A 14,149-nucleotide genomic window follows, 5' to 3' on the forward strand; every position below is an offset into this window, starting at 1 on the left:
AAGCAATCCTCCCACTTTAGCCATCCAAATGGCTGAGATTACAGAAATGAGCCACAGCACCCAGCCCAAAAACATACTTTTAAAAATTAATTTATTTTTTATTATACTTTAAGTTCTAGGATACATGTGTATAATGTGCAGGTTTGTTACATATGTTTACATGTGCCATGTTGGTGTGCTGCACCCATTAACTCGTCATTTACGTTAGGTATATCTCCTAATGCTATCCCTCCCCCCTCCCCCCACCCCACAACAGGCCCCGGTGTGTGATGTTCCCCTTCCTATGTCCAAGTGTTCTCATTGTTCAATTCCCACCTATGAGTGAGAACATGCAGTGTTTGGTTTTTTGTCCTTGCGATAGTTTGCTCAGAATGATGGTTTCCAGTTTCATCCATGTCGCTACAAAGGACATGAATTCATCTTTATTTATGGCTGCATAGTATTCCATGGTGTATATATGCCACATTTTCTTAATCCAGTCTATCATTGATGGACATTTGGGTTGGTTCCAAGTCTTTGCTATTGTGAGTAGTGCCACAATAAACATACGTGTGCATGTGTCTTTATAGTAGCATGATTTAGAATCCTTTGGGTATATACCCAGTAATGGGATGGCTGGGTCAAATGGTATTTCTAGTTCTAGATCCTTGAGGAATTACCACACTGTCTTCCACAATGGTTGAACTAGTTTACAGTCCCACCAACAGTGTAAAACTGTTCCTGTTTCTCCACATCCTCTCCAGCACCTGTTGTTTCCTGACTTTTTAATGATTGCCATTCTAACTGGTGTGAGATGGTATCTCATTGTGGTTTTGATTTGCATTTCTCTGATGACCAGTGATGATGAGTATTTTTTCATGTACATGTTAGCTACATAAATGTCTTCTTTTGAGAAGTGTCTGTTCATATCCTTTGCCCACTTTTTGATGGGGTTGTTTGCAAAAACACATTTTTAATGAAATATAGCTAGAGTCACCAAAACAAAAAAATAGAGGGAAGAATAGCTTTGCTTTATATTTTTGCAAATCTAATTGATGTGTAGCTTAAAAGAAGACAGTGGGATTCTCATACTTGCTTCTGCATTATCCTGTTGTACTCTCACATGTCATGTAGCTTCTGGAAAACTCCACTGTACACTCATGGAAAATGAAAGAGGAAAAGGTAAACAGTGTCTTAATATTTTTTATGGAAACAGTTGAGGCCTTGCATACCTCATGCATGGGTCTTGAGATTCCCAAGACCACACTCTGAGAACTGCTGGCTTAGAGGCTCAGAGCATTCACATCCTGGCTTTATCAAGTACAAGATTGTAGCTGTAAGCAAGTTACCTAACCTAGGGCTCAATTTCTTCCAGTATAAAATGGGGACAGTAAGGGAGCCTTAGAACAGTGTCTTGCACATTTATGGAGTGAATGCTCCAGAAATGGCAGCAACCAGCGATCCCCACAACTACCCTCGGGGGTTTGCTCCAGTTTAGAACTGAGGACACCGAGGCTCAGAATAGCTGAGCTGAGATTCAAATGTGATTTCTCTCATTCAAAGGCCAAGCTTGTGACTGCAGTATTATACACACATCACGCTGAGGTGTTTGGAGCAGAGAAGGTTTACAAGCAGATTAATGATATGACCTGATTTTAGAAAAATCACTCTGGTGGCAGCTAAGAGTATGAATGGGTGGGAGTTGGGACTGCAGACAGGGGCTCCATTCTAAGAGTCTGACCTGAGGCAGGGGTTCTGGGGCTGAGGGAGGGGAACTTCACAGGCAGGGTGGGCAGGACTTAGTCCCCATGAACATGGGGATTAGGGAGGGGAGGAGTCTAGAATTACTCCCAGGCTCCTTGTGTGAGCTTATGGGTGGTAGTGACATTTACTGAGACAGAGAAGAGAGGAATGGGTTGGGCGTGGGGAAGATGATTTCATCCTTGGATGTGTTGAGTTTGAGATGCCCCAGGGGATTTCCACAGGCAGTGGAAATGTGGATGGCAAGGTCAGGAGAGGTCAGGCATGGAGAGGCTGCAGCAGACACTGGCAGGCGTTCTCTGTGGAGGAGAAGCCACAGTTTTGGATGAGCCTGGCCAAGGTGTTTGCTTTTCCAATGCTCTCATTGCCAAGATTCTATGAGCCTAAGATCCAAAGAGTAGTTTGCCTTTCTTTACTTTGATTGAATTTCAGGTGTGTGTTTCTTGGAAATTTGACTTTCTTCTATGATGGCTTGAGAGAGGACTTATCCATGGGCACTGTATTAGTCAGGGTTCTGCGGAGGGACAGAACTAATAGGAAAACATACACAGAACTAATAGGCTATATATAAAGGGGAGTTTACTAAGGAGAACTGACTCACGTGATCACAAGGTGAAGTCCCACGATAGGCCACCTGCAAGCTGAGGAGCAACGAAGCCAGTAGTTGCTCAGTCAGAGTTCCAAAGCCTCAAAAGTAGGGAAGCCAACAGTGCAGACTTCAGTATGTGGCTGAAGATCTGAGATCCCCCGGCAAACCACTGGTCTAAGTCCAAGAGTCCAAAGGCTGCAGAACCTGGAATCTGATGTTCAAGAGCTGGAAGCATCCAGCAAGAGAGAAAGATGAGAGTGGGAAGACTTAGCAAGCCAGCTGATCCCACCTTCTTCCCCCTGCTTTTTTTCTTCTTCCTTTTTTTTTTTTTTTTTTTTGAGACAGAGTCTCGGCAATTCTCTTGCCTCAGCCTCCCGAGTAGCTGGGACTACAGGTGCCTGCCACCACTGCTGGCTAATTTTTGTATTTTTAGTAGAGATGGCATTTCACCATGCTGGCCAGGCTGGTCTCAAACTCCTGACCTCAAGTGATCCACCTGCCTTGGCCTCCAAAAGTGCTGGGCTTACAGGTGTGAGCCACCGCGCCCGGACTGCCTTTTTCTAGCCTCACTGGCAGCTGATTGGATGGTGCCCACCCACACTGAGGGTGAGTCTTCCTCTCCCAATCCACTGACTCAAATGTTAATCTCCTCTGGCAACACCCTCATAGACACAGCCAGGGACAATACTTTGCACCCTTCCATCCAATCAAGTTAACACTATTAACCATCACAGGCACCTATAGACAGTGCTTTGGGTAAAGTAGGTGTCAGCAAACTGTAGTCTGCAGTTTGAGTCCCGCCTGATGCCTGTTTTTTAAAAATAAACTTTTGTTGGAACACAGCTACGCCCATTCATGTACTTATTGTCTCTGGATGCTTTGGGCTATAACAGCAGAGTTCAGTGTAACAGAGACCATGTGGTCTGCAGAGCCTAAGATATGTACTACCTGACTTAAAAAAAATTGCAGATCCTTTGGATATAGCACTGTACCTTGAGTTGCAATTTCACTATTTATTTTATAATGTGCTAATAGCATAGTTCCTGACCAGAAAATACTAAAGAAATATCAACTAAATAATGATCACAATCTCTCTTTTAATGTAAAAGGGTTTCAATATTTATTTAGTCCATAATTCACTTTTTTGTTTGTTTGTTTGTTTTTTTGAGATGGAGTCTTGCTCTGTCACCAGTCTGGAGTGCAGTGGCGCGATCTCAGCTCACTGCAACCTCCACCTCATGGGTTCAAGCGATTCCCCTGCCTCAGCCTCCTGAGTAGCTGGGACTACAGGCACATGCCACCATGCCCGGCTAATTTTTTTGTATTTTAGCAGAGATGGGGTTTCACCACATTGGCCAGGATGGTCTCGATCTCCTGACCTCATGATCCACCTGCCTTGGCCTCCCAAAGTGCTGGGATTACAGGCATGAGCCACCGTGCCCAGCCAATTCACTTGTTTTAAACATGTCAAGCACACTGGTCTTAGGCTGCCACTTCCTATCTTTCCAGTTCCTTCCTTCTAGCCCTCTGTCTCCAGCAATTCTTCAGCCCCATGGCTATCTGCAATCTATTGATTCTACCGTCTCACAATCCCTCAATATACATATCCAATATAATTCTTCCAGATGGCCAAATAATTTCACTTTTAGGATTAAAAAGAAAAGAATAATTGAGGGCAGATCTTGCAATCTATAGGTAAGCTCCGTGAGGGCAGGGCTGTGTCTGGCACATGTCTGGTGGTCACGAATAGTTGTTGATTGACTGCAGACCATTTCTACTTATTCTGGGGATCATAGAGTGGCAGTATAGAGCTTTAATGATAATCTGTCCATCTGCTGTTGGGGCACGTGAGATTTGCAGAGGTAAGTGGCCTACCCAAAGTCTACCCACTAACTAGAGATAAGTTCCCCAATTCCCATCCTGGGGTTCTTTTCTGTGTACCGGGTTGCCTGTGTCCACTTCAAAAACCCGAGGAAAACTTTGGAATTAAGATTAAAGAACAAACATTTAAACTTGGAAGGGAAAGGGATATTGGAATCACTCTGCTTGTATCTTGTGTTGTAGCACAAGGAGGTGCCCTTGGAAACATGCAGACACACTCGTAGCCCTCACCATCAGCAGTGAGTTGTGAGAGTTTGGTCAAGTTGCTTAACTTCCAGTCCTTAGTGAATGCTTCTGACAAATGGGGATTGCCTAAATGGGGTTGTTGTGAGGCTTTCGGAGTGGGGTTGCAAAACTCACACTACAACTCAGAAGTGAGAAAAAGATTCTGTCATCTTGTCAATGACTGACCTGGTCCTCACGAGCCCTTCACATATTGGTGAGCAAGAAAAAGTTAACTGAAGTTCGAACTTTGTTTAAAATTTAGTCTAAATGGGTACAGAGTTTCAGTTTGGGATGGTGAAAAAGTTTTGGAGGTGGACAGTCGTGATGGCTGCACAGCAATGTGAATGTGTTTAATATTACTGAATTGCATACTTAAAAATGGTTAAAATGACAAATTTATGTATATTTCATCACAATAAAAAAACAGCCTAATCTGATCATGTAGGCAGTCGGCTGTGGTCATGCACAGTTGCTTTTGGAGAGATGACCTCTCTCTTAATTCCCTGGGTTCTGGCCTCACTGTTACTCCCTAAGATTGTATTTGGATGTGGTGGGGGCACTGGAGGTGGTGGCTTATGCGATCTGTGGCACTGGAAAGAGGTGAGGGCCTTGGGCATGATTTCCTTGGCCTCCTCTGGTTCCCTTAACCAGCCAAGTACTGCTGGCATCTACTCTCCAACCTTTGTCTCATGCCTCTGGGCTGAGGAAACACGAGATACTGTGACACATCAAAAATTTCATTGTGACCTAAGTTGGGCAGCAGCGTTGTGGCTTACTTAGCATGGAGAGGAACCATGAGTCACGCTGGCTGCCACGTCCTCTCATGTGCATCCAACAGGCATCACAGGGGAAGGAGGGAACATGGCCCCTACTCATTTTCAAAGACAGTACAAAAGCAATAAATGAAACTCAATGAAAAGAAGCACATCGTTGTAAACCACATGCCATTTTTGAGGTCCTAGAATAATCATGAAATTAGAAGGTGGTGTCCCAGCTATGTGCTGATCAAATGCTGATCCACAAACCGTATGGTGCTATCTGGGTCTGAACTACCTGCCGGGACTTGGTGGTAGTGGTGGTGGCAGTGGTGTGTGTGTAACTTACCACCAGGACATTAGCCAAATCTGAGAATCACTGCTTATGTCGATATACCTTTTCTAGTCTAATATTTGTTTAAATTACGGCAGTTAATAAAGAAGACAGCATGCTCTTGGCTCATTAAAGCCATTACAACAGTAATAGTATCATGGAGAACCAAAGAGGTTTTTTTTTTGTTTTTTGTGGGTTTATTTTTATTTATTTATGTTTTTGAGACAGAGTCTCGCTCTGTCGCCCAGGCTGGGGTGCAGTGGCACAATCTCGGCTCACTGCAACCTCTGCCTCCTGGGTTCAAGCAATTCTCCTGCCTCAGCCTCCTGAGTAGCTGGGATTACAGGCACGTGCCACCACACCCAGCTAATTTTTGTATTTTTAGTAGAGACGGGGTTTCACCATGTTAGCCAGGTTGGTCTCAAACTCTTGGCCTTGTGACCTGCCCACCTCGGCCTCCCAAAGTGCTGGGATTACAGGTGTGAGCCACCACACTGGCCAAAGAGTTTTTTAAAAGCACAGTTGATCATAATTTGCCTTTGGTAAAATAAATGGGAGCCAAAAGCACTGAACAAATTCTACCCTCTCCAAGGCTCTTATGCGTATCTACTTACTGAAAATGCGTCCAAACACTCAGACATGAACTATTCTGGTGAATATAAAGGGCTTATTTTTCTATTTGCCCTGGCTCTTCCCCTGCCCCAGGGACTGAGCCCTAAGAACTGCACCCTGGGGCTCTGGGGCTCTCTCGGGTTCAGCCACTAGGGGGCACTGCGATGAGTGGTGCCCCGAGGAGACAGGGCCTGGGATAGTTCTTCCTTACTCTGGGCTGAATTTTTCTGGCAGACGCCGCATGTCTCTCTACAGCTGTAGCTCCCGATGGCTGTCCCCTCCTCAGGAGCTCCAGCTACTGGCTGGGCAGTACCCACTTCCCACTGTTGCTAATCTCTCGGTGACTTCAGCCTGCTCACAGCCTTATAAGTAGTCCCTTCATTTAAGTCTCTCAAACCATCTGAGTTGGATTCTGTTTCCTGCAGGGGCACCAACTAATAAGCCCATAAAAAGAAATCCTTTACTGCTATCATCTAAGGGGACAGTGATGTCCTGATGTGCTAATCACTGACGGACATTAACGGTGATAATGCTGGTATTTCACTGGTATGACTCAATTTCTAAACTAATGGCTTGGAACTTATGCCTCCAAATTGTATTGCCTTCTCAAAGCTGACACCTTAGGATGTCTCAGTACCATCATGTTAAAATATTCCGAGGCTGCCTTTAAAGATATACTTTAGTGCCCATAACACATTATTTTGAATAATGCTGAAAAACAGTCCTCCTTTAATGGCAGATTTGATTCAGTTCAACAGGCAATATCACAATATGCATAGGAAAATTGGCAATAATTTCATTATGTTCATATGCAAATTCCACTAACTGTTATGCAAATGTCTTTTATAGCTTGTTTTTCCTTTTCTTTCAAGCCAGGATCCAATCAGGGTTCGTGAATTGCTTTTGGATGTCTCTTTTTAAGTGTTTTCAGGGATGCAGAGATGTGACTTTATGTCAGTAACTCTGCAATATAGTGCATTGTGTAACACCATTAATATATCAAAGGAAGCAAATGGAACTTTAGGGAGTGCTAAGGGTGTTTCTGGTATTGCAAAAGACACAACTCAGGTATGGGAAATGAGTTAATTATTCATAAGGGTGAATATGTTGGTTTGAGTAGTAAGCATTTTCCTTTTTCACATTAGGACACACACACACACACACACGCCTGTGAATGTAGCAGGACGAGCCACAGACAAAACCCCCCAGACACAGAGTTGAGGAAGGAAAGGGCTTTATTCGGCTGGGAGCATCGGCAGACTTATGTCTCAAAAAACCAAGCTCCCTGAGTGAGCAATTCCTGTCCCTTTTAAGGGCTTACAAGGGGGTCCGCGTGAGCAGGTCGTGATCAATTAAGCAAGCAAGGGGTACATGACTGGGGGCTGCATGCACCGGTAATCAGAACGGAACAGAACAGGACAGGGATTTTCACAATGCTTTTCCATACAATGTCTGGAATCTATAGATAACAGAAGCAGTTAGGTCAGGAGTTGATTTTTAACTACCAGGCCCAGGGCGCAAGCTGGGCTATCTGCCTGTGGATTTCATTTCTGCCTTTTAGTTTTTGCTGCTTCTTTCTTTGGAGGCAGAAATTGGGCATAAGACAATATGAGGAGTGGTCGCCTCCCTTATTTCCACCTTTGAGAATCTCACTGAATAGTGAGAGTTCTCACTTTCATTCTCACTACCCATGTCTTCTTGTAGGACAGATCGATAGTGATTCATATAGTACACTTGTGCTGAAGCATTTTGGTGAACTAAGGTAGCGATGAAGGTTTTTTATCATTTGAAGGAGTACAGGTAGCAAACAAGGGAGTAGTAAGCAGGTTCCTATTACTATTATAATTCCTATTATAAGAGTTTTAAATCCTCCTAACACTGGGAACCATTTTCCAAACATGGCCCCACAATCAAATCCATGCCATACTTGCATGGGCACATGTGCCAGTTTTGTCATATCTCTAACTATGTCTTCAACTACTTGCCCTTGATCATCTATATGTAGACAGCAATTAGTAACCCCTCCCCCAGCTGCTAGCAAGTAGTCAAGAGCCAATCTATTTTGATAGATAGCATTTCTCATCTGAGTTTCTTGCTGGGCCAGAATAGTCAAGGCTCTGCCAGTTTTATTAGTGATTATTTCTAAGACAGCTTGTAACCATATGATTTGGGTGAGCATGTAAATGGGGGTCCCATATCCCCATGAGCCATCTTGTGCCCAAGTAGCAGGCTCATAGTATTGTATGATTCTCTCAGGGGGCCATTCATCAACTTTCCAATTACCTATAGCTATGCTTCTCTTTTCACGGGAAGCATAGACAGGGAAGCCCAGGAGTTCGCCTGTTTTTATGGGCAGTAGGAAGAAGGATGGTTTAATAGTGCCAATAACACAACTACCTGCCCACTGGTTGGGTAATTTGGCGTAAACTCTATGCCCACATATCCAGTATAATCTGGTGGGGGCTGTCCAGTCCCGGTGGGACTCCAGGTGGGTCCACACGGTTTGCAACTTTGGGAATTTACTAAATGGATTCTTTTTAGTATGGTTTAGACCCCACCAGGTGACTGTTCTTAATTTTATTTTAAACACTGTGACCATAGGGGGCTCAGATGGGTTATAACACACATCAGGCTGGGCACTTCTTGGCTACATCCCTTGTACTGGGTGGCATTATACAAACAAGTCCCTTTTAGGGTTCCAGCACATTTATAATAACTATAGAACAAAAAGACAGTTTTAACTTTTTGCCCTACCTTAGTGACCTGATGTATACACTGGGAACAATCCTTAGTTTGAGGAAGATCAGTTTAAGTCCCTACCATACAAGTCCAAAATTTAAGGAAAATAAATCCCATGGTGAGTTTCCTCATGCTTTGGCCATGCATGGACCAGTCAGCTTCCAGGTGTGACTGGATCAGGGCTTGTCGTCTTCTTCAGAGTCACTTTGCAGGGATTCTCCGGGCTTGGTCTTGCCTCCCAGGTCTCAGGTGCTGCGGGTTTCATGGGGCTGTGGTGGATCCAGGCTGGGATTCCTTGACCACTGTGGGAGTGGTCAAGACCACAGTCTGGGGTCCTTTTCACCGTGGCTGCAAGAGGGCTATGTTCTAATCCTTGATCTACACCTGATCACCTTTGCTGTCTTCTGTACCAAGTCAGCCACAAACACCAGCCCATTGTCCAAGCCAATTCATAAGGGCAGTCCAAACCTAGGGATGAGCTCTCCACGTTTGGGCATCTTGGTGAAGTCTACTTGGAGATCTTCAAAGGGGGCTGCTCCATAAGCCTGTATGCCAGGCAGGACAGTTAGACCTTGCCTAGCATTGTGCTGCTAGGAGGTGACACACTGCTGTGCCACTGTTTTGGCAAGGGCTGACAGATGCAAGATGTAGAAGTACTGGCCTAACAACTTTTCAAGTGACTCTTGGCCTAGGTGGGTGGTCTCATGCACAGCCAGTACGACTGCAGCTCCTAGCAGTTGTGGCATGGCTATTCTTCCATCTGATAACCGGATCCATCTTCTTCTATCACCTGCCCTCATTCTGGTTGATGAAATGCCAGGGTGAAAGAGATAGCCAATTGGACTAAAGCACAAGTGCCACTCCAGTTATTCGGCAGAGTGTCCAGTAAAGGTCCGCCACAATACCACCAGACATCCTCTCGGGGATGAACAAGGGCTGACTTATTGATAAACTCTTGAAAATTCTTAAGCTCACTGCATCCCTTCAGGTCTCCAGGGAATGCTAAGTTTCCTTGCTGTCGTGAGAGACACGAAGTGAACTTAGTGTTGGGAGAAGGAAGCTGGATGGCCCTCGGGGGCTGACCCACAGGGTGCTGGACTTTGGGATATAGCAGAGACAGCTTGGCACAACCTATTACTCCAGGCTGTAGAATCCTGGAAAAGAGCTACCATGAAGTCCATGCCTGGTCGACTGGAGGACTACCTTAGTGGAAAGGGGACAATCTGGGCCTCTGGCCTGCCATGTGCACAAGCATAACAATTGCTTTTGTTTAACATGCCAACGGTATATTTGATTCATTCCAACCAGACATTTGCATCTTGGTATCCTGTCTTAATTGTCAAAGTTTGTTTTAAGCCTTTAACTTCTATGATCCTCTAATAAAATGAATGTATGGTTTCAGGAAATTACAAAAACTGGTTGGGGCAGTCCATCCTTGCTCTTTAATGGTCCACAGAACGTTGGACCAATTATGGCATAAAAGCTGTATATTGGGGGGCAAGACTCCTGGTTAACACTGGGGTCTTTGTCGAAATCTCCTCAGATAAAATGGTCCTAATTTACTAATGCCTAGTCTGAGAAGAGTCAGGAGGGAGAGAGGTACTTTTCTGAAGTAGAGGTCTGTCTTTGACTTGGCAAGTCCCCACAAGGTATAACAAGGCAAGCATTAAATGCAAGTTTGAGGCGAAATTGACTTGGTTATGTTAATAACTAGATGGTCAGCAATAGAGCCAGGAAAGAAGAAAGAGTAATAGAATAGATGAAAGAGTTAAATTTTTCTTAGCTTTAGTTTGGTAGGGTTTTCCCCTGGGACTATGGCCCACAACTCTGGAGCAGGTGGTGCTTTCTTGACTCGGGTGTGATGAGTCCATCCCTTTTTTGCTGTACAAACAGCAGTCTCGGTGGTTAGCAGCGCAAGGTAGGGTCCTTCCCAGGCTGGCTCAAGTTTTTCTTTTTTCCACCCTTTGATAAGAACGTAATTTTCAGGCTGGTGCTGGTTTACCAGAAATTCTAAGGGTAGTACATGTGCTAAAAGACTTTTAGTTTTGAGGGAAAGGAAAGTGGAAGATAAACCAAGTATATAATTTCTAAGAAACTGACCTTTTGTTTTAAATGTGGGACATCAGCAGCAGATTTTATAGTACCTTGGTGCCTTCTTACTGAGAAATTTCCTTTTGCACCTATTTTTATTAGTTTTTAGACCAAAGAAAGCCAAACACCATTTTATATTTGACAATGCTTCCTGTATCACTTTTATACCAGATAAGCTAAATTTCACCTTTATATTAGTGTGTTATTAATGTTACACTTAGTTTTAATAAAACTTTGTAGACATATTTATTCAATTTTTAATGTCTGACCATAAGGTAAGATTTTTTATAGACTCTCTTCAACCTTTTATAATTTTTGTAAAAGAGCAGGTTAGTGCTTTAAGAAAAACCCGTGGTGTTTTTACTTTAATGTCCAGTTCACAGAAAAACTGGATGATACCCCTTTAACTTTAGCTAATATGTTTATACACAGAATTTTCTTTACAGTTAACATTTTAAAACTTGCTTAAATCTTCAAAACAAAATTTTTAAAAACCTTTTAATGTAGGTAAAAATCTACATTTTTATGCCTCCTTATAATCCTTTTACTAAAAATATATTTTACTTTTCTTACACACTTTGCATATAAACTGTTCCTTCAACAGTTTTACATTCAGGAGGCCTAATTACTTTTAAATTATACAACATTTCTTGCATAAATTCCTTTTTTATAACACACATTTTTTTTCTTGTTTCACGACTTTCACAGACAATTCTTCAACATGTCTCAACTTTCTGACTTATTGCAAACATCCCTTTCTTTAAACAACCAGTTAATTTATTTTAGGACAAGAATGTAATATATAACGTTCTTTTTACATAAATTCTACCCCCCTTTTCTTTTTTTTTTTTTTTAACTTAGGATAGTTCTGAACTGGTGAGGTGTGCTCACAGTGAGGTTTCCTTTAAAAGTTATTTTTCTACTTTTTTTCTGTTAGCAAAGCTGTTGCCACTACAGATTGAATGTATTTGGGCCATCCACGGGTTACTGGGTTAAGGAATTTTGATAGGAAGGCTACGGGTTGTCAGTGGTCTCAGTGCTTTCGGGCTACGCCCTTGTTTACACTGACAACAAAGTGGTATTGGAGTGTTATATGATCACGGAGAAGACCTTTAATTATCAATTATAGGTTCTAAATTTACCTTGGCTTTTAAAGGAATAGTGTACACTGTTTTTTTCTTAACTACTTGTATATCTCTCTCTTTCTCTCTTTGACTTCCTTCTGTCTCTGTCTCTTCCTCTCTCTCTCTGCCTCTTTCTCTTTGACTTCCTCTTTGTCTCTTCCTGTCTCTCTTGCTTTCTCTCTTTGCCTCTTTTCTTCTCTCTCTCTCTTTCCTCTCTCTCTCTTTCTCTCCTCTCTCTCTCTCCCTTTTCTCTCTGCTGGTCTTTCCTTGCCTCTGCCAGCCGCTTATGCTGCTGTTCTCCTGTCTCCTTCCTCTTCCCCTAGGGGAGAGACCGGCGGGAGTAGAGCTACTCTTTCTTCCTTGGCTATCTGTCCCTTTGTCACTAGTACTACTGCTGCCTGTCTTCTTAACCACCGTGGGGGGTCTAAAACCAGCTGCAACCACGTATCTATGTATGGAAACTGATCTGGGTGTCCTGATTTACCAGTTACTTTGTGCCATACCTTTGAAACTAGAGACCTGTCTAGGCTTCTTTCTGATGGCCATCCCACCTCTAATGCCCGCCAATCTATCTCACACAGAGCCTTAAACTTTCCAGGTGTCATAGCGATTCCATAGACCCCACTGAATCCTTTCTTGAAATTCTTTAACATAGTTCCTAATGGGGTAGGCTTACTTTGTGTTTTACCCATTCTCCTCTCTCAGGAGACAAAACAACACTCTTACCACAAAGAGGGAAGGCAAAAAGGGGCAAAAAGTCACTCACTCCCCCAGCAATTCACACTAAAACCAAAGTATGGATAAGGAGTTACTCATTCATCAAGCAATTTGAGCCAAGTCAGAACCGAAATCAAAGCCAAAACAGTTCAAATCCAGAAGTCAATACCGAAATCTAAACCAAAACAGTGCAAATCCAGTCAAAATCAAAACCAAAACCAAGGTGCCAATAAAGGCATGCCGTGGGTGATCAGGCCACGCTTCCACTCAGATGGAGTGGGCAAGTTCCAAGACCAGTCTTACCGTGTTCCAGATGTCTGGACTCCAAGCGCCGATTCCTTCCCGCTGTTCAGCCGCTGCGTTAATCCTCCGCGGGGGCCTACCGTGCGCTGCTCTGGCGAGGCGTTCCACCAGGGCAATTACCCAGCTGAAAGCACTCTCAGGATTCACTAAAGCCGGCAGGAGTCCCCCGCAGGGATGTTCCACAAGGCAGGCCTAAGCCTCCTAAGCAGTTGCCTCCACCGCCCGGTAATCACCTCGCTTCCAGGTCAGGGAACCAAGAAATGTAGCAGGACTAGCTGCAGACAAAACCCCTCAGACACCGAGTTGAGGAAGGAAAGGGCTTTATTCTGCCAGGAGCATCGGCAGACTTACAAAACCGAGCTCCCCGAGTGAACAATTCCTGTCCCTTTACAACTAAGGGGGTCTGCGTGAGAGGGTTGTGACCCATTGAGCAAGCAGGGGTACGTGACTGGGGGCTGCATGCACCGGTATCAGAACGGAACATAACAGGACAGGGATTTTCACAATGCTTTCCCGTACAATGTCTGGAATCTATAGATAACACAAGCAGTTAGGTCAGGGGTTGATCTTTAACTACCAGGCCCAGGGTATGCCCCCGGCTATCTGCCTGTGGATTTCATTTCTGCCTTTTAGTTTTTACTTCTTCCTTTGGAGGCAGAAATTGGGCATAAGACAATACGAGGGGTGGTCTCCTCCCTTATGAACAACACAGATTTGAGCTGTGTGGGTTCAATTATACTCAGATTTCCTCCTGCCTGTGCCACCCCGAAATAACAAGAGCGACCCCTCCTCTTCCTTCTCCTCAGCCTGCTTAACGTGAAGACGATGAAGACAAAGACCTTTATTGTGACCCACTTCCACTTAATAACAGTATATGTATTTTCTCTTCCTAATGTTTTTCTTCGTAACATTTGCTTTTCTCTAGGTTTATTATAAGAATACAGTCTATATTACATATATGATACAACAGATGTGTTAATTATCTGTGTTGTTGGGAAGGCTTCTGGTCAACAGTGGGCTATTAGTAGGTAAGATCTGG

The 14,149-nt window shown here is 43.8% G+C and overlaps 1 protein-coding gene across 1 annotated transcript in view, besides 3 other annotated features; it reads right to left on the reverse strand.

Moving 5' to 3' along the window:
* GSDME (gasdermin E) overlaps positions 1 to 13,560 on the reverse strand; it is a 97,185-nt gene extending 83,625 nt beyond the window's left edge. The window contains exons 1-2 of the mRNA XM_024446670.2: positions 13,111 to 13,560; positions 2,342 to 2,554 (exon numbers count right to left, since the gene is read on the reverse strand). The gene's annotated coding sequence lies outside the window, so the exon portion shown is untranslated. The remainder of the gene's footprint in view (positions 1 to 2,341; positions 2,555 to 13,110) is intronic.
* Positions 7,597 to 7,797: a silencer, noted in NCBI's record as "peak6442 fragment used in MPRA reporter construct". NCBI's record gives its function as "represses an SCP1 promoter by STARR-seq MPRAs in K562 erythroleukemia cells {active_cell/tissue: K562}" and the evidence as "EXISTENCE:reporter gene assay evidence [ECO:0000049][PMID:32103011]".
* Positions 12,763 to 13,268: an enhancer, noted in NCBI's record as "H3K27ac-H3K4me1 hESC enhancer chr7:24834361-24834866 (GRCh37/hg19 assembly coordinates)". NCBI's record gives its function as "activates a minimal SCP1, AML or CMV promoter by ChIP-STARR-seq in naive H9 embryonic stem cells {active_cell/tissue: H9 hESC(naive)}" and the evidence as "EXISTENCE:reporter gene assay evidence [ECO:0000049][PMID:30033119]".
* Positions 13,269 to 13,774: an enhancer, noted in NCBI's record as "H3K27ac-H3K4me1 hESC enhancer chr7:24834867-24835372 (GRCh37/hg19 assembly coordinates)". NCBI's record gives its function as "activates a minimal SCP1, AML or CMV promoter by ChIP-STARR-seq in naive H9 embryonic stem cells {active_cell/tissue: H9 hESC(naive)}" and the evidence as "EXISTENCE:reporter gene assay evidence [ECO:0000049][PMID:30033119]".

Source organism: Homo sapiens, chromosome 7, assembly GCF_000001405.40.
Source record: "Homo sapiens chromosome 7, GRCh38.p14 Primary Assembly".
Lineage (NCBI taxonomy): Eukaryota > Metazoa > Chordata > Mammalia > Primates > Hominidae > Homo > Homo sapiens.